We start from the raw sequence: 20086 nt of genomic DNA, 5'->3' as shown, positions 1-20086 counted from the left end.
TGTATTTTTAGTAGAGATGGGGTTTCACCATATTGGCCAGGCTGCTCTCGAACTCCTGACCTTGTGATCTGTGCACCTCGGCCTCCCAAAGTGCTAGGATTACAGGCATGAGCCACCACATCTGGCCAAACATAACTATTCTTATAGTTATAATAATTCCATGAAATAGGTCCTACTACCTCCCTCTTTTTTGTAGTTGTTGATTTTTAATTTTTAAGAGATGAGGTCTCACCACGTTGTCCAGGCTGGACTTGAACTCCCAGGCTCAAGTAATCCTCCCACCTAAACCTCTTGAGTAGCTGGGATGACAGGCGCACACTACCACGCCCAGCTAGCTCCTTTATTTATTTATTTATTTATTTATAGACAGGGTCTTGCTCTGTCGCCCAGGCGAGAGCAGAGTGGCATAATAATGGCTCCCTGCAGCCCCGACCTCCCAGGCTTAAGCAGTCCTCCCACCTCACCCTCCCAAGTAGCTGGGACCACAGGCGTGTGCCATCACACCTGGCTAATGTTTTTATTTTTGTGGAGATGGAGTCTCCTTATGTTGCCCAGGCTGATCCTGAACTCCTGGGCTCAAGCGATCCTCCCATCTTGGCTTCCTAAAATGCTGGAATTACAAGCATGAGCCACAATGCCTGGCTTACCTTTCTTATTTTACAGATGAAAAAATGAAAGCAGGGCGGGGCGCGGTAGCTCACACCTATATCCCAGTACTTTGGGAGGCTGAGGCGGGCAGATCACCTGAGGTCAGGAGTTCAAGATCAGCCTGACCAACATGGAGAAACCCCGTCTCTACTAAAAATACAAAATTAGTCGGACGTGGTGGCACATGCCTATAATCCCAGCTACTCAGGAGGCTGAGGCAGGAGAATTGCTTGAACCCGGGAGGCAGAGGTTGCGGTGAGCTGAGATTGTGCCATTGCACTCCAGCCTGGGCGAGAGTGAGACTGTCTCAAAAAAAAAAGAAAAAAGAAAAAGAAAGCCGTGCGTATTGGCACGATCCTGTGATCCCAGATACTTGAGAGGCTGAGGTGGGAGGATCACTTGAAACCCAGAGGCAGAGGTTACAGCGAGCTCAGCTGGCACCACTGCACTCCAGCCTGGGCAACAGAGCAAGACCCTGTCTCAAAAGAAAACAAAACAACAAAAGCAAGCCAAAAAGAAAAAGAAAGTTGCACAAAGTCACACAAGAGTGAACAGTAGGACAGGGATTAAAACCCAAATCCTCTGACCCAAGAGCTCAAACTCTAAGCCAGGAAAACATTTTTTTTTTTTTTTTGGTTTTAAGGAGCGAAAAGTTTAACAACCAAGAAAGAAGGAAGAAAGAAGAGAACAGCTCCCCCACACAGAGACAAGGAAGGGGGTCTTGGAACAAAGAGAAACCCCCAGAAAAGCTTTTAATGAAGGTAGCTCTGAGCCAGGCAGAAAGGAAAAGGTTATTAGGCAGCTATTATTATGGCTATGTTGTGCTAAGCGCTCGCTCTCGGTAAGGGAGTGGTTCTCAGCACTAGACTGGACTTCAGTCTTCAGATGAAGGACTCCTGAGCACAAGTTTATAACAACCTGCAATAGGGAAATAAACCCTATAAATGTGGGCGGGGCTTTCTCTAACATAAAGTTTATGCATTCACTTAGAACATCCCACAGCAAAGGCTGGGCACGGTGGCACATGCCTGTAATCTCAGCACTTTGGGAAGCCGAGGCAGGCGGATCACCTGAGGTCAGGAGTTTGAGACCAGCGTGGCCAACATGGTGAAATCCCGTCTCTACTAAATACACAAAAATTAGCCGAGCATGGTGGCACACGCCTGTAATCCCAGCTACTTGGGAGGCTGAGGCAGGAGAATCGCTTGAACCTGAGAGGCAGAGGTTGCAGTAAGCCGAGATCGCACCACTGCACTCTAGCCTGGGCGACAGAGGGAGACTCCATCTCAACAGAAAAAAAAAAAAAAAGAACATCCCACAGCAGAAGTTCGTTCATTTATTCATTCATTTATTTTATTGTTCAACAACTACATCTTAGTGTTACAACTCTTTTACAATTTGTCTAGCAGGCTTTCTGGTTTTTGCCAGAAAGCCCCCTTAAGAAAACTAAAAAAAAACAAAACAAACAAAAAAAAAAACTAAAAAAAAAAACCCTACATCTTTCTTTCTTTTTTTTTGAGACAGGGTCTCACTCTGTCCCCCAGGCTGGAGTGCAGTGGCATGATCTCAGCTCACTGCAAACTCTGCCTTCTGGGTTTAGGCGATCCTCCTGCCTCAGCCTCCCGAGTAGCTGGGATTACAGGCACACACCACCACGCCCAGCTAATTTTTGTATTTTTAGCAGAGGCGGGTTTTCACCATGTTGGCCAGGCTGGTCTCGAACTCTTGACCTCAAGTGATCTGTCCACCCAAGCCTCCCAAAATGCTGGGATTAGAGGCGTGAGCCACCACTGCACGTGGCCAAAAAACGACATCTTAAGCACCTATTAGAAGCCAGGCACCGTATTCAGTTTTGTGCCCAATGTTGTGAATACAATATTCAGCCCACAAAGGCAAGGATCCCACAATCCTTACTCAAACACAGTGATCATCATCAAAGTAATGTGAATTTTAAAAGGCTGGAAATTGGGAGGCCAAGGCAGGTGGATCAACCTGAGATCAGGAGTTTGAGACCAGCCTGACCAACGTAGTGAAACCCCGTCTCTACTAAAAATACAAAAATTAGCCAGGCATGGTGGCACATTCCTGTAATCCCAGCTACTTGGGAGGCTGAGGCAGGAGAATCGCTTGAACCCGGGAGGCAGAGGTTGCAGTGAGCCGAGATTGTACCATTGCATTGCACTCCAGCCTTGGCGATAAGAGTGAACTCTATCTCAAAAAATAAAATAAAATTAAATAAATAAATAAAAATAAATAAAAGTTGGAATTTAAAATTGGGTAAGGCATTTGATTTTCAATCATAAACTTATTATTTTGTTTTCTTTTGTTGTTGTTGCTGTTCTGCCTGGACAATCCCTACTGCAGAAGAAAGTAATTTTTTTTTTTTTTTTTGAGACGGAGTTTCACATTGTCACAGGGGCTGGTGTGCAGTGGCACAATCTCGGCTCACCTCAACCTCTGCATCCCGGGTTCAAGCGATTCTCCTGCCTCAGCCTCCCAAGTAGCTGGGATTACACGCGCCGGCCACCACGCCTCAGCTTCCTGAATAGCTGGGAGTGCAGGCGCTCACCACTACGCCCGGCTAATTTTTTGTATTTTCAGTAGAGACGGGGTTTCACTGTGTTGGCCAGGCTGGTCTTGAACTCCTGACCTGGTGATCCGCCCGCCTCAGCCTCCCAAAGTGCTGGGATTACAGGCGTGAGCCACCGCGCCCAGCCATAGAAGAAAATAATTTTAATGTATCCTTTTTTATTGGGTCTGAAAATAGATTTACATTGTTCAGCTACAAAAAAAAGCCAGTGCTTTCTGGGCATAATAATTGCTAATGTATGTGTAATACACTAAAGTTTAAAGTGTGCTTGTGCAAACAGTGTTCAAGTAGTTCTCTAACGTCCTACAGGAAAATAAGATGTGAAAACCAAGGCTCAGGAAGGCTAATGGATTTGCATGAGATCACTTGGGCAGCAATCCTGACCCAGCTATTGGTATAATGGTTATTGTTATTATTATTGCCATATGCCATTCCCTTAATACCTCAAGTTAGCTGAGACACCTCTCTTCCCTACAGACTTCAAGAGTCTGCTGGGTGCGGTGGCTCACGCCTGTAATCCCAGCACTTTGGGAAGGCCGAGGCGGGTGGATCACCAGAGGTCGGGAGTTGGAGACCAGCCTGACCAACATGGAGAAACCCCATCTCTACTAAAAATACAAAAATTAATTGGGCGTGGTGGCACATGCCTGTAATCCCAGCTACTCAGGAGGCTGAGGCAGGAGAATTGCTTGAACCCAGGAAGTGGAGGTTGAGGTAAGCCAAGATCGCACCATTGCACTCCAGCCTGGGGAATAAGAGTGAAACTCCATCTCCAAAAAAAAAAAAGGGTCTAATCTACATTCCCGAGACTGTAGGGTATGTGTGCACAAGTGTGTATACATAAAAATTCTTTATAATCTCTATTGCTAAATTTGAAATGTGAGTAAAGTACAACTATCAGGAGCATCCAATTCCAGGTACTTCTGGTCACATTAGAAATCTTCAAAAAATATATATGGAAGGCATGGTGGCTCACACCTGCTGTAATCCCAGCACTTTGGGAGGTCAAGGCGGGATCACTTGAGGCCAGTAGTTGAGACCATCCTGGGCAACACAGTGAGACTCTCATCTCTACAAATAAAAAAGTAGCGGATGTGGTAGTTGCATGCCTGTGGTCCCAACTACTTAGAAGGCTAAGGCAGGAGGATTTTCCTGAGCCTGGGAGGTTGAGGCTACCGTGAGCCACGATGGCACCACTGCACTCCAGCTCAGGCAACACAGCAAGACCCTGTATCACCCAGGCAGAAGATGGGTGACCACATAGAACAGAGACAACCTGTCCCAGCTAAGGACCCCTTGAGTATCTGTATCTGTGACAATCCGTGGATGCGGGAGCAAGGCAATCCTAGACTTGCTGACCACAGATACATGAGAGAGCCCAGTAGAGATCAGCTCATCTGGCTAAATCTAGAATATGCCAGGTGCAGTGGCTCATGCCCGTAATTGCAGCATTTTGGGAGGCCAAGATGGGAGGATTACTTGAGCTCAGGAGTTCAAGACCAGCCCGAACAACATAGTGAGACTCCATCTCTACAAAGATAAAAAAGATTAGCTTGGCATGGTGGCACATGCCTGTGGTCCCAGCTACTTGGGAGACCAAGGTGGGGGGCTTAGGCCCAGGAGGGCAAAGATGCAGTGAGCCATGATCGTACCACTCCACTCTGGCCTGGGCAACAGAGTGAGACCCTGTCTCAAAAAAAAAAGGAAGAGGCCGGGCGCGGTGGCTCACGCCTGTAATCCCAGCACTTTGGGAGGCCGAGGCGGGCGGATCACGAGGTCAGGAAATCGAGACCATCCCGGCTAAAACGGTGAAACCCCGTCTCTACTAAAAATACAAAAAATTAGCCGGGCGTGGTGGCGGGCGCCTGTAGTCCCAGCTACTTGGGAGGCTGAGGCAGGAGAATGGCGTGAACCCGGGAGGCGGAGCTTGCAGTGAGCCGAGATCCCGCCACTGCACTCCAGCCTGGGCGACAGAGCGAGACTCCGTCTCAAAAAAAAAAAAAAAAAAAAGGAAGAAGAATATGGCCTATAAAAAATGGTTGTTGCTTTAAGCTATTAACTTTTCGGGTGATTTGTTAAACAGCAAAAGCTAACCAATACAGCCAGACATGGTGGCTCATGCCTGTGATCCAGCAGTTTGGGATGCTGAGGTGGGAGGATCATTTGAGCCCAGGAGTTAAGACCAGCCTGGGCAACATAGCAAGACCCTGTCTCTACGAAAAAATAAAAAAGCCAGGCCTGATGAAATATGCCTGTATTCCTAGCTAATTTGGAGGATGAGGCAGGAGAATCCCTAATCCCAAGAGTTGGAGGCTACAGTGAGCTATGATCCGCCCAATGCACTCCAGGCTGAGGGACAGAGCAAGATCCTGTTGCTTTAAAATAAAAGAAAAGAAAAAGAAAAAAAAGAGCCGGGCACGTTAGCTCATGCCTGTAATCCCAGCACTTTGGGAGGCCGAGGCAGGCAGATCACGAGGTCAAGAGACGGAGACTATCCTGGCCAACATGGTGAAACCCCGTCTCTACTAAAAATACAAAAATTAGCCAGGCGTGGTGGTGGCGTGGTGGTGAGCGCCTGTAGTCCCAGCTACTCAGGAGACTGAGGCAGGAGAATCGTTTGAACTAGGGAGGCAGAGGTTGCAGTGAGCCGAGATTCTGCCACTGCACTCCAGCCCTGGTAACAGAGTGAGACTCTGTCTCAAACAAAAAAAAAGAAAAAAAATTTTGAAAAATTGAAAAAAGCTAACCAATGCACTGAGTAAATAAATTAGGCTGGCCAGACTGCATTGGCCTGAGAAAAAAAAATCTTTTTTCTTTTTTTTACCAGAGCCTACACCTGCTATCAGAGGCCCTTGGCTGTAAACAAGGGGAAAACACTATCTAATTGCTTTGATTTTTTTGTTTTTGACTCCCAGTATTCCTTCAATGCTCATTTCTCTGAAATATACATATATATTTCCTTGTTGCTTCTTCTATTACCAAAAGCCTGGTGTATTTCACACATGTTGTTAATTACAGAGGCCATATGTAATTAACAAGCAAAACTGTGGTTGGAAACTTAATTGCGCATACAAGGTGGCCGCCTAAATGTTCAAATTAAATGGTTAGCCATTCAACCACTACATTGTAAATGCAGGGGAAATTTCTCCCAGAACTTTTCAAGATTTGAAGTGGTACCTAAAGTTCAATCTATAAAACAGTAGCTGAGACAGACACGATTCATTCATTAACACCCACTGTATGCCAGGCATTCTGCCAGGTGTGTAAGCTACAGCAGAGAGCAGGACTTCACTGGGTTTCAGGCACTAAGGAGCTTATATCCTACACACCAAGTGCTTTGACTTTTTAAATTTCCTTGGCTGGGGTCAAGTCAAGAAAGTTCTATTAAGCATCCACCCTTTGAAGCGTGTTAGGAGAAATGGAGAGAAAAAGACATACTTTAAAATTTTTGTTTCAGCAATTCTTCAGGATACTTTGATACAAAAATCAATGCTTTTTTTTTTTTTTTTTTTTTTGAGACGGAGTCTCGTTCCGGCACCAGGCTGGAGTACAGTGGTGGGATCCCAGCTCACTGCAACCTCCGCCTCCTGGGTTCAAGCGATTCTCCTGCCTCACTCAGCCTCCTGAGTAGCTGGGACTACAGGCGCGCGCACCACCACACCCAGCTAATTTTTGTATTTTTAGTAGAGACTGGGTTTCACCATGTTGGCCAGGATGGTCTCAAGCTCTTGACCTAGTGATCCTCCTGCCTTGGCCTCCCAAAGTGCAGGATTACAGGCATGAGCCACCACACCCGGCCCAATGCATTTTCTTGATTGTTTTCATGGAATTGCCTGATTATTTGAATGAATAAAGAATATATTGTTTGGAGGCGGGGGGCAGTGGCTCACACCTGTAATCCCAGTACTTTGGGAGGCCAAGGCAGGCAAATCACTTGAGGTCAGTAGTTCCAGACCAGCCTGGCCAACATGGCCAGACAGGTTTTGTAGAAACCCTGTCTCTACAAAAATAGAAAATTGAACTGAGTGTGGTGGTGCACACCTGTAATCCCAGCTACTTGGGAGGCTGAGACAGGAGAATCACTTGAACCTGGGAGCAGGAGGTTGCAGTGAGCCAAGATCATGCCACTGCACTCCGCCTGGGCAACAGAGCAAGACTCTGTCTCAAAAACAAAACAAAACAAAACAAAAGATATATTGATAATACTGTTTGGGGCACTGGAGAGGCATCAACTATTATATACATGATGTACTCTCTGGATGCCTAAGTCCTCACTCACAGCCAAGGCAACTGGAGAATTGTAGCAACCACACAACTGAGGTTTCTGGATTGGCAAATCACTTAAGATTGTCTCTTTTTTGAGATAGAATCTCGATCCGTCACCCAGGCTGGAGTGCGGTGGCACGATCTTGGCTCACGGCAACTTCTGCCTCCTGGGTTCAAGCGATTCTCCTGCCTCAGCCTCCCGAGTAGCAGGGATTACAGGCGCACACCACCATGCCCAGATAATTTTTTGTATTTTTAGTAGAGACAGGGTTTCACTATGATGGCCAAGCTGGTTTTAAACTCCTGACCTCAAGTGATCCACCCACCTGAGCCTCCCAAAGTGCTGGGATTACAGGCCTGAGCCACCTCACCCGGCCTCAAGATTGTCTTTTACTTGAATTATTTGGATGACTGTTCTTAATTTACCCCTTCATCATGCCCGGAAATGGGAAAGAGGAAATGTGTAGATTGCTTCAAATAACTTCTGAGCTATTGCTATGTCTCAGGCATTGTTCTAAATGTTTACCACAAAATCCTGCCCTGATGGAGCAGACATTTTAGGCTGAAGAGACAGGTACTGGCTGGGTGCAGTGGCTCACACCTGTAAGTCCAGTACTTTGGGAGGCCAAGGTGGGAGGATTGCTTAAACCCAGGAGTTCGAGGCCAGCTTGGGCAACACAGTGAAACCACTGTCTCTACAAAAAATTAAAAAAAAAAAAAATTTTAAAAAAAGAGACAGATAAGAAAAACACATATTGAGTGAGATAATAAGTGCTGTCTAGAGGCATCCATATATTCCATCTATGATGTTTTACAGATGTTATTTACCTGGTGACTGCCAAATACTCCCAATATAATCTTAATTATCTTTTTTTAATAGCACAAGGAGCTGGGTGCGGTGGCTCATGCCTGTAATCCCAGCACATTGGGAGGCTGAGGCGGGAGGATCACCTGAGATCGGGAGTTCGAGACCAGCCTGACCAACATGGAGAAAAACCCTGTCTCTACTAAAAATACAAAATTAGCTGGGCACAGTGGTGCGTGCCTGTAATCCCAGCTACTCGGGAGGCTGAGGCAGGAGAATTGCTTGAACCCAGGAGGTGGAGGTTGCGGTGAGCAGAGATCGTGCCATTGCACTCCAGCCTGGGCAACAAGAGCGAAACTCCATCCCAAAAAAAAAAAAAAAAGAAAAAGAAAAGAAAAAAAAGAAATAGCACAGGGAATACTGACCACATTTCTGCCTTTGTTCAGTTCAGATTGACAAATATTTGTTGAGCTCCGACAAGCAGGGAGAGGGACAAGGTGAACCAGCCCTTTCCTGCCCCTAAAGAGCAGCATAGCCACCAAGTAAACACATCATTTCAATATACTGTGGTAGCCCCTGGATAGAGGGAACTAAAAGTTGCTACAAAAACATGAATGCTATCTAGAAACTCCTGCATTTTCTCTTGAAGCATGTGAAGGAGTTCATCTGAAAAAGATGCCAAAAAGCCAAGAATCCAGCATCTACATCATCTTAGGAGGGAGCAGGGATAGGTAGGGAGGAGCCACCAGCTCTCGGATATTCCCAGATGCTAAAAGGTAAAGTGAATTCTTCTATAAGGATGTGTCTATCTAGCTGAGTCTGCAAAGCCTCCCCACAGTAAATCTGAAGTTGAGAATGCCAAAGTATTTGCTTTCATCTAACTCTTTGACAGACAAATAGAATACAAAAATAAAAACATCTCTCTTCTACCCTCATTGTAATCTTTTTCCTCTTTTCAAAATCTTTTAAACAAAATGCCTCTTTACTGTGAAATCTGTTCTATTGATTTGTTTTCATAAAAGATCTCTCTCCTAAAGAAAGGAAAAGCCATCTTTGATCTGACTTGACAAAAAGATCTAATCAAACAATAAAATCTATGAAGGAAAAAAAAGAAAAAGAAGCAAGCTTCTTTGAGCCACATCAAATATATGAAAGAGAAAATACTTCATTTAAATGCTAAAAACTAACACAAAACAGCTTGAAATGTAATAACCTCTCCTGAATAAGTGAAACCACATGTTGATCTGACATGAGTTTCTAAGACACAATTAAAGGTCACTTCGTGTACAAACATCTCATTCGGAAGTGAGAAGCTTGAATTGCTGTCAGTATTTTTGGCCACCACGGGGCAGGTGCTCCCACCTGGCACAAACCATATAGACGCCCCCAGAGGGAATGAAGGTGATACTCCACATACTGGAAGCTTCAAATCTAGCCGCGCCAGGAAATGTTCAGCCCTGGATTTCAGCTGTTTCTCCCTTGATGTCCTAACAGAGAGGACTAACTAAATGTGAGAATCCTTGTTGTTTTAGGAAGCCCATGGAAGTGGCTTTACTTAAAAAACTAAAGGCTTCCTTTCTGCTCTGTCTGTCTTTATGACCCACCAGGGTCCTAGGAGAGAAGACATTAGGGTGTTGCAGCCACAGAGTCACATTTGGAAACGTCTTCCAGCAGCTGGGATGTTTCAATTCAAGACTCTTTAAGGGAACACAGGGTATTTGGAAAGTGACTTTAAAATGCCCTGGCCTCCAGGCCTATCTCCTCTTACCAAATCCCTTTAAGAAAGGATGTGCTGGGGAAAGACTTCAAAGTGTTTCAAAAGGGAAATCACATCTTGAAAGCTTTTCTCAGAATGAGAAAGAAACACATTATTTGATTTGAAAGAGAAGTAAATCTTAAGCAGCAATGAAGGAGGATCAAAGAATAGGTTCATGTGAACTTAAGAAGTGATCCTTTCCAGCGGAACGTGACTTTACTCTTTCCGATGCCCTCAACGCATTTTGGGGATTGTAAGTTTACTCGAGAATCAAAATAAAGAGGCGAGCCAGCGTTCCAGAAAATCACGTGGTCTCCCCCGCCCCCCAATCTATTTTACAGCCCTCTCCAGCTTCGAACTCGCGCCAGGCTGTGCGCACCGACTTTGCGCTGGCGGCGTGGACGCTGCGGCCACTCGCGGGCGGCGTGGACGCTGCGGCCACTCGCGCGGCTGTTGTTGTTGCTGCTGCGTGGAGGCACGCCGCTCCTTGCACACGCGGGGCAATTCTCCGGTTGGGGAAGGAGGAAAATGGCTGAGAAAAGGACCTAAGAAAGCCTTCAGGGTGGGCCCCCATTTCTTCCTGCCCCGCCCACACCCTGCCACACTCTCCCGCCGTCCCCTCCCCACCCCCCCTTGTTCTTTGGACCTGACCGATGAAAAATTCAACTAATACCTAAATAGATTCTTCTTGCAAAAAAGTAAAATCTCAAAGCAAAACAAAACAAAACAAAAATTTGTTAGGGGAGAAATCATCTGTGAGGTGCCCTTTCCATTCTAGCTCCCTCTCCCCTCTCCGTTTCCCTAAATGTTATTCTCTATCGATAGACATAGAGATGTGGATATTACCTGTAGATAGATATTTTAAAATTGTATTTATTTCTTAAAGACACTTCCATAATCTAATATACAAAGGAATTCATAAACTTAAGAGCGGAAGTTGTCACATAAATAAAAAACAACCAATACTTTTTGATCAGTAAAATCACTGATTCGGCTGGGCGCGGTGGCTCACGCCTGTAATCCCAGCACTTTGGGAGGCCAAGGCGGGCCGATTATGAGGTCAGGAGATGGAGACCATCCTGGCTAACAGGGTGAAACAAACCCCGTCTAAACTAAAAATACAAAAAATTAGCCGGGCGGGGCGCCTGTAGTCCCAGCTACTCGGCAAGCTGAGGCAGGAGAATGGCGTGAACCCGGGAGGCGGAGCTTGCAGTGAGCCGAGATTGCGCCACTGTACCCCAGTCTGGGCGACGGGGTCTCCGTCTCAAAAAAAAAAAAAAAAATCACTCATTCTTTGTAAAGTCCAATAAAATTAAGTTTAAGTCCATTGGTAAGAATGAGTAAGAAAAACAAGAGGGAATGTACTTATAAACAACATCAAGAATAAAAGTAGATACATAATTACACATACGGGGCCGGGCAAGGTGGCTCACACCTGTCATCTCAGGACCTTGGGAGGCCGAAGTGGGCGGATCACTTGAGGTTAGGAGTTCCAGAACAGCCTAGCCAACATGGCGAAACCCCATCTCTATTAAAAATACAAAAATTAGCCGGGCGTGGTGGCACATGCCTGTAATTTTACACCGAGCTACTCAGGAGGCTGAGGCATGGGAATCCCTTGAGCGTTGCAGTGAGTCGAGATCACACCACTGCACTCCAGTCTGGGCGACAGAGCAAGACTCTGTCTGAAATAATAATAATAATAGTAATTACACATACAGAGCAACCTTTTGAAATTTTAAGTGACTGTTTTCTACAGCTGTGTACTGTTTGGCTTGAAAACCTAGCTTTGTCTAAGGAAAAAAACCGAATTACCAAAATCAACCCAATCCAGGTGCTGTATTTACACCTGAAAGTATTGCTTTTCTTTACCTGCTTGCTTGATGTAATATATATTAAATAGCCACTGTGGAAAATCACGGGAAATTTTAATATTTTCCTCAGAAGCTTGTTAGTTAATCCAACTCTAACCCGGAGAAAGTTGCTGCATTAACAGTTTCTCAACAGACAAAAAATGGCCACGAAAACAATGGCTAGTCTTTATTTGGGGCTTACTCTACACCAAACATACACATTAGCATATTTGGCCTCCGTAATGCCGCTTAAGGTTTGATACCATTGCTATACCCATTTTACAGATGGCAAAACTGAAGTGTGAAGAGGTACCCAAGATCACACAGCTTTGAGGGGCAGAATGGGGATCCCAATGGAGAAAAGCTGTGACTGTTTAAAGTGTCATTCAAAGACTACATTACATCATAGGAGAATCCAGCTATAACTTCCCTTATCACATTTTAACTGGGAACCGCATAATTGTGCCATGAATAGTGCACCTATCTTACATAGATGGTCTTTAGCAAGAGCGTGAATTTAAAGTAGGAAAAACATTAAATGCCCTCAAGAAAGATGACTAAAAGATTTGAAGAAACTGAGGGAGTGTCAGCTAGGGTAAGGTTTACTTAATTGGAGATTTAGGGGATAAGTATAAAAAGAAAGTGTTAGCCTATACCTGGCACCCCAGAAACATCGATGTAGTTTAGCTATCCAGATCATTATATTAGTGTCAGGATTAATCTATTTCTCCCTACTTTTAATTTTTTTAAATTTCTTTTCTTCTTTCTTCCTTCTCCTTCCCCCTTCTTTCTTCCCATATCAAAAGGACTAAATGTTAATCCACTCAAAAGACCTGATTGGCTATAAATACCATATTTGCATTCCAAAAGAAAAGAATTATTGTGCCACAGCTATTGAGGGTAGGTAATGAGGATCTCAGTCCTCCTAAGCTCCTCTCCTCCTCACCTCTCTGCCCCCTCCCATCTCAAGCAGCTGTTTGCTCTCCCTTTCCCCTGCCTCCCCCATCATCCAGAGGAAGCACATGTGGAAGAAATTCATGGAGTCCTGAGCTCAAAGTCATTGAGGTCTATTTCAGTGAATATTATAGAATATAACACGAATATTACAGATTGTTAAGTCTCCAATTGTTCTACGTGGTTGCAGACCCCTCCTGGCTGGAATCCAGGTTCCACTTTTTTTTGTATATGGACATTCCTATTTGTTCATGGAGAAAGTTTTAAAATACTCTAGTAACCTAAAACAGAAAATACACTTTGAGAAAATTACTGTAGGTTTAATTTATACAGGACTTGAATTACACTTCTTCTTTTTTTGTTTTGTTTTGTTTTGCTTTTTGCTTTGCTTTGATTTTTTTTTTTTTTTTTTTTTTGTGGTTTGGTCCTAAAGATTCTACATATGTGTATTATCTGATTCAGATCCCACTGCCATTAGCTGCAGGGAAACTCCATTCTTTGAATGGCAGCTTATTGCTTTCTGTTGAAGGGCATGTCTGTCCCTTTCAAAGTAATATGAAAAACACAAGCCATTTTTGCTTTCTTGAAAGCACAATTCCAGTGGCTTTTTAAATAACTAAACTTCGCTTTGGGCAGAAGCAAAAAATAATAATAATAATAGCCTGCATTTATTCCATAAGATCTCTAGAACTTTAGAGCGGACAATTTATAACAACTTGGTTACATTTTTTGTTTTGTTTTGTTGTTTTAGGTAAAGTTGGTGCTTTCAACTACTTCAGAAATCCTTCTATTGGTAGTGTGATGTTTCCATATGACCTTTCCAAATCTTTTATAATGATGTGAGCTTTGTTGTATATGTGAAATCAATCAAGAAGCAGGAATATGTTAGTGTATTGCCTGTATTTTATAGTTTTTCTTTCTCAGGCACGTTATTTTTAGAGGACACAGATTAAGCAATTTGTTTCTGAATTAAAGTATTGCTCAATCTGTTTGCTTTCTTAAGAATTGCCTTAAACCACTAAACTATGTATGTGTGGGATTCTGGTTTTGAGCAAGTCAGTAATGAACTTTTAAAGTTCAGTCTACCAAGATGAGTCAATGTGATTGATTTATTAATTAGCAAAAGCCATCCTCTGAAATTACCTTGCATTAATCACAATTCATGCAAAATATATCCAATGAGTCTTAAGATGTGGGTTTGACAAACTATCCTTTCTTCAGAGACTATAGTCAATTTTAATAACCTTTGCTGGATAAATCATTAATGTTCAGCCTGAAATGATGAGTGGCTGAGGAAATTCCAAAAAGTACAGCAGGCCTATTCCTCCAGCAAAGCTGAAAACTATGTAAAATGGAGACAAGACGGCTGGGTAAAGCAGGAAACAAGATTCTGACAATTCTGGATAGTCTAGTATTTGCTGCCACTTGCACTAAAGGAATTGACTCTAATTGGATTCTTCTGAGTCGAGGGCTGATAAAAATACACAGAAGCAAACGTGTGGGGGAAACCCAAACTGCCAGAAGCCAATCTTTTAAAGGACAGCTAATACCTGTCCAGGGCCAAAATAAATGAATCCATTGGCTAAAAAGGTTGGGCTGACTAGTCATTTGGACTCCTGAACATCATCCTCTTTTGCATGCTCCAAAACCCCCGTGTTTGCAAAATCAGATACATTCAACTAAATTAAAAATCGTCTTCCAGTGGACCTATTTTACAGATGAGGAGACAGAAACCCTCAAGGTTAAGTGCAATATTTATTATGTGGCAAATTCAAGACCAGAATACAAAGATCTTCAAGCAAGCTAAATAACTTCTCTCAGCCCAAGTATCCCTTTCTATAATGATAGAGCTGGAATAAACAAAATTGTATGGTTTCCAATTCTAAAGTGTTGTGGTTTTAGTATCTGGATTCCAAGACTACTTTCTCAATAACCTCACTGTGTGTAAGTATTTACGTATGGATAAACATATAAAAATATATATGTGTGAAAATATACAGTGAAAATTCTATAGGAACAAAGTTTAGAGGACTCAGGTTTAAATGATATATATATGAACAAATTTTTAAAACGTGTATAATATGTTCACTTCCTATTACATGTGGGTTTTTTTTTTTTTGACCTACTGACTACATTAAAAAAAAAAAAAAAAGGAAGCCAGATATTTCTGGAGATGTTAAATTCCCCATTCTTTAGATAAAATGAAAATGATTTAGAGACATATGGTGGATTTTTAAAAAATCCACCTTCTCCTTTTATTGGAAAGATTTAAATATCTCTAATTGTATTCGAAAAATGCTGAACCGTATCAAACCCAAGTCATCAAACAGTGAGTTTTAATCAATTCATCTCCTAAAGATAGTTCACTGCTGGTGGAGTGTGATTCCTGAATTATCTTGTGAGCCCAAGTGATTAATCAGAAATGAAGGCAGGGCTAAGCTTCAGGGAGGTTTCACAAAAAGGCAGAAAATGTCCATAGATAATGTTATTGGGGGAAATTCTCTCCCTTCTGGAGGTGCTCAACATTTTATTAAGGAAACTACAAAACTCTCTTTCATATTAATGAACTATCAAATACTTGGGGTTATTAAAGGGAAAGAAAGAGAGCAAGAGACAGAGAGAGAGAGACCTCTGTCTTAGACTAGGAAAATCCTACACGTATTAGGAGAAGGAGTAGTTTGGGAAGACAACTCTTGGAAATGAGTTTACTGCTTCCTTAACTTCGAAACTCTTAACTCTTGATCAGTCAACACTTAGCCAGTTTCGGTTCTGTAATTAAGGAAGTAAAACCCTGAATCCGGAGCGCTCCTGGTGAATCGTGACTGGTATCTGCCCAAGTTTCCCTCTGGCCAGGGATCCTCACTCAGCATTCAAAAAGGAAAGCTGCGTTCGCGGTTCTTTATTACTTATATATTTATTTTGAGGGTTTTTTTATTACTTAATTAGTTATTTTGAGATGGAGCCTCGGTCGCCCAGGCTGGAGTGCAGTGACACAATCTCGGCTCACTGCAACCTCTGCCTCCTGGGTTCAAGCAATTTTCCTGCTTCAGCCTCCCAAGTAGCTGGGATTACAGGTGCATGCTACCACACCCGGCTAATTTTTGTATTTTTAGTAGGGACAGGGTTTCTTCATGTTGGCCAGGCTGGTCTCGAACTCCTGACCTTAGGTGATCCGCTGGCCTCAGCCTCCCAAAGTGCTGGGATTACAGGCCTGAACCACCTCATCCCACCCCGCGGCTCTCTAAATGTTGTACTCTGAACAAAAATATATTTCGGGGAATGTTACCTTTTAGAATGAACTAATAGAGTGATTGAACTTAATTTAACTTTTTCCTTTTGTTTTGAAGGCCTCTAGGGAAGTTGATAAAGTTATAATTTATCGTTTTGCAAGGGACATTCCAGAAAAGCAGTTTGTTTAATTTTTTTGTTTTTAAAGACAAGCAAAGGTCATAGAGACCAACTCAACTTTTTTTTTTTTTTTTTGAGATGGAGTTTCACTCTGGTTGCCCAGGCTAGAGTGGTGCAGTGGCACGATCTTGGCTCACTGCAACCTCCGCCTCCCAGGTTCAAGTGATTCTTCTGCCTCAGCCTCCCAAGTAGCTGGGACTACAGGCACACGCCGCCATGCCCAGCTAATTTTTGTATTTTTAGTAGAGACGGGGTTTCACCATATTGGCCAGGCTGGTCTTGAACTCCTGACCTCGTGATCCGCTGTCCTTGGCCTCCCAAAGTGCTAGGATTACAGGCGCGAGCCATTGTGCCCAGCCCCAACTCAACTTTTAATTTAACTTTGGGAAGGCTGTTTTGAAAAGAGGGGTTATTTTTTAAAATTTGGAGTCTTTGGATTTATTTGTCAAAAATACATAGTTTAACAAATAATTTTAAGTATATAATAGTACAGAAATGTACTCTTTTTTGTAAAAGACAATATGGAGTAAAAGGTTTATGAAGAAATTGATTTCATAAGGGACATCTGAAACTAATCAATGAGTATCCTCAATCCAAAGTCGGGGCGGTGGCTCACGCCTATAATCCCAGCAGTTTAGGAGGTGGAGGCAGGCTGATCACCTGAGGTCAGGAGTTTGAGACCAATCTGGCCAACATGGTGAAACCCCATCTCTACTAAAAATACAAACGTTAGCCGGATGTGCTGGCCCATACTTGTAATCCCAGCTACTTGGGCGGCTGAGGTACGAGAATCACTTGAACCAGGGAGGTAGAGGTTGCAGTGAGCCAAGATCGCGCCACTGCACTCCAGCCTGGGAGACAGTGAGACCCTGTCTCAAAAAAAATCAAAACAAAACAACAACAACAACAACAACAAAAATGCCCCAAGACAGGTCCAGGGAACTGGATGGTAAATTTCCAAGTAGAAACACCCTAATCCTGAAACCAAATTCTCAGTCCACAACTTGCCGTATGCCTGAGCTCCATCATTTATTTTTTAAATTGATTTTTTAGCAACCAGCTGAGGCCTCTGCTTCCTTCAAATATGCAACTATCATAGTTACTTCCTTCTACTCCTTCCCTCCCGTGGGCCCAGAGGGCTAACACAAAAATTTCCCCCTTGATAAATGCTGATAGCAGTGTGAGAACAGCTGCTTTTCCCCAAGCTTGGACAGGCCTTTTCTCAATTTTAATATGTATCGGCCCTTACTGACTAACCTCGGCTTTGCAAACCCTTGCTTGGCTGGAAAGACTTACCTCCTGCAAAATAGAATGGTGGTGTTAAGAATTTTAGCTTGCAGATAAACACATTTAAATGCAGTGATAGCTCTTGAACATTGCACTCCCAATTTAATCTTTAATTTCTCCCAGATACACAGTAAACTTGAAATGGTCTTTAAAAATAAAGACTAAAAAAATTAAAAAGCACTAAAAGCTTTAAGGATACATGTCCAAATTACCCTGTAAAGAGTTGTTACCAAACAAAACAAACAAAACACCACGTTCACAGAGATTAATTACAGGGGACCTAAATTGAGAACTATCTAGTATCATAAATGATCATGATAACCAACAAAACTGAATTAGCATCAGTTTGAGACCTCACAGTTAAAGAAGGAAATAGACAAAAAAAAGTCTACTGTTTGAAAAGTGTTTAAACATTGACTGCTGTGAAAAGGGGTATAAAAATAAAACCAAAGAGATGGAAGAACTGTTTTCTGTGTGCAGTGGGAAAGTTTACACAGTTGACAAGCTGTCATGTGGGGATGTCCCAGCAACATTCAAAAGTCTATTTCCTTAGATCAAAAAGGACAGACACAAGCCCAATATTTATATTAATATCTGTGCTCGTTGGTCATAGTCCCTCTTCCCCAGAGTAATTATATGCTGCATCCGTGGAGCAATGTGTCTAATACCTTAATTCTCTGAGTACAAAGACCAGTGGGGTCATATGACGTTGCTATATTTAGAAAAGGACCTGCTTTCTGTTTTGCGCAACTCTTAACAATTTTCTGCTCTGAAGAGAGTTTCAAATGTACATTGATCTTTCTCATATCGTGAATGAACTGAATTAGCACCTGTTTTCAACTGCCACGATACTTATTTTAAAAAAGGGGAAAGAGAAGTCTGTGTACTCTTAATTCAACAAGGGACATGGGAGGTGTAATTTTTTTTTCTGCCTTCTTCCACAGAACTTAACCAGAAAGCAGTGATATTTACCAAATTTTACAGAGGCTAAGGTAGGTACTGTACAACTGAACAAAGCAACATGTGGAATGGTGATTATATCCCACGGTGATTTAGATGAAAATTTTCCAAAAACAAAACAAAACAAAACAAATACTACTAATGTTGGGAAGAGCTAACTCATGTAACTACGCAAAGTAACTGTGAATAATTAACTCTAAAGAAGCAGAAAAATAATTTATTAGTTACAGAAATGTCTGTGTAAGCCCCTTCCTCATAAAATACCTGGAAATAATAATGATTGTTTAAATGAACAGGTTTTGTTTTCTTTTTTTTTTTTAAATCATAAACATCAATTGACTACAACAAGTCCAATCCGTTTGGAAGCATGCTTGCCATCTATCAATATATTTTTTTTAGTAACCAAAGGTTAATTTTATGTTGATAAAATGAAATGTACAATAAAAGTTAGAAAATGTATAAACTTTTTTTTTTTTTTTTTTGAGATGGAGTCCCGCCCTGTCGCCAGGCTGGAGTGCAGTGGCACAATCCCGGCTCACTGCAACCTCTGCCTCGCGGGTTCAAGCGATTCTCCTGCCTCAGCCTCCCTAGTAGCTGGGATTACAGGCGTGTGCCACTATGCCCAGCTAATTTTTGTACTTTTAATAGAGACGGGGTTTCATCATGTTGGCCAGGATGGTCTTGATCTCTTGACCTTGTGATCCGCCCACCTCGGCCTCCCAAAGTGCTGGGATTACAGGTGTGAGCCACCGCGCCCGGCCGAAAATGTATAAACTTTTATGTGCAAAGAGTATAATAAACATATGTAATGATAATAGCTTAATTTTTTTAAAAAAATTTTTTCTTTTGCAATGGAGTTTTGCTCTTATTGCCCAGGCTGGAGTGCAATGGTGCGATCTTGGCTCACCGCAACCTCCGCCTCCCGTGTTCACGTGATTCTCCTGCCTCAGCCTCCGGAGTAGCCGGGATTATACGCATGTGCCACCACCCCCGGCTAATTTTGTATTTTTTTAGTGGAGATGGGGTTTCTCCATGTTGGTCAGGCTGGTCTCAAACTCCCGACCTCAGGTGATCTGCCCGCGTTGGCCTCCCAAAGTGCTGGGATTACAGGCATGAGCCATCGTGCCCGGCCTATAATAGCTTAATTTTTTAAACTTTTATTTCAATAACTTTTGGGGTACAGGTGGTTTTGGGGTTACATAAACTCTTTAGTGGTGACTTCTGTGATTTTAGTGCACCCGTCACCCCAGTGCATGCTGCACCCAATATGTAGACTTATTCTCAGAATATTCTTTTTTTTTTTTTTGAGACGGAGTCTCACTGTGTCGCCCATGCTGGAGTGCCCTGGTGGGATCTCAGCTGACTGCAACCTCCGCCTCCCGGGTTGAAGCTATTCTTCTGCCTCAGCCTCCCAATTAGCTGGGATTACAAGCGCTCAGCCGCCATGTCCAGCTGATTTTTGTATTTTTAGTAGAGACGGGGTGTTGGCCAGGCTCGTCTCCAACTCCTGACCTCAAGTGATCCGCCCACCTTGGCCTCCCAAAGTGCTGGGATTACAG

General features: G+C 43.0%; 1 pseudogene, besides 5 other annotated features; it reads left to right on the top strand.

Moving 5' to 3' along the window:
* On the top strand, nt 2025-2084 carry RNU7-14P (RNA, U7 small nuclear 14 pseudogene; annotated as a pseudogene).
* Nucleotides 9461-9520: an enhancer, noted in NCBI's record as "active region_18130". NCBI's record gives its function as "activates an Ori minimal core promoter by ATAC-STARR-seq in GM12878 lymphoblastoid cells {active_cell/tissue: GM12878}" and the evidence as "EXISTENCE:reporter gene assay evidence [ECO:0000049][PMID:35858748]".
* Nucleotides 10441-10500: an enhancer, noted in NCBI's record as "active region_18129". NCBI's record gives its function as "activates an Ori minimal core promoter by ATAC-STARR-seq in GM12878 lymphoblastoid cells {active_cell/tissue: GM12878}" and the evidence as "EXISTENCE:reporter gene assay evidence [ECO:0000049][PMID:35858748]".
* Nucleotides 10511-10570: an enhancer, noted in NCBI's record as "active region_18128". NCBI's record gives its function as "activates an Ori minimal core promoter by ATAC-STARR-seq in GM12878 lymphoblastoid cells {active_cell/tissue: GM12878}" and the evidence as "EXISTENCE:reporter gene assay evidence [ECO:0000049][PMID:35858748]".
* Nucleotides 15639-15758: an enhancer, noted in NCBI's record as "active region_18127". NCBI's record gives its function as "activates an Ori minimal core promoter by ATAC-STARR-seq in GM12878 lymphoblastoid cells {active_cell/tissue: GM12878}" and the evidence as "EXISTENCE:reporter gene assay evidence [ECO:0000049][PMID:35858748]".
* Nucleotides 17531-17580: an enhancer, noted in NCBI's record as "active region_18126". NCBI's record gives its function as "activates an Ori minimal core promoter by ATAC-STARR-seq in GM12878 lymphoblastoid cells {active_cell/tissue: GM12878}" and the evidence as "EXISTENCE:reporter gene assay evidence [ECO:0000049][PMID:35858748]".

The sequence above is a fragment of the Homo sapiens genome, chromosome 20 (assembly GCF_000001405.40).
Source record: "Homo sapiens chromosome 20, GRCh38.p14 Primary Assembly".
Lineage (NCBI taxonomy): Eukaryota > Metazoa > Chordata > Mammalia > Primates > Hominidae > Homo > Homo sapiens.
The sequence above is the reverse complement of the archived record's forward strand: the minus strand, read 5'-3'. Positions and strand labels throughout refer to the sequence as shown.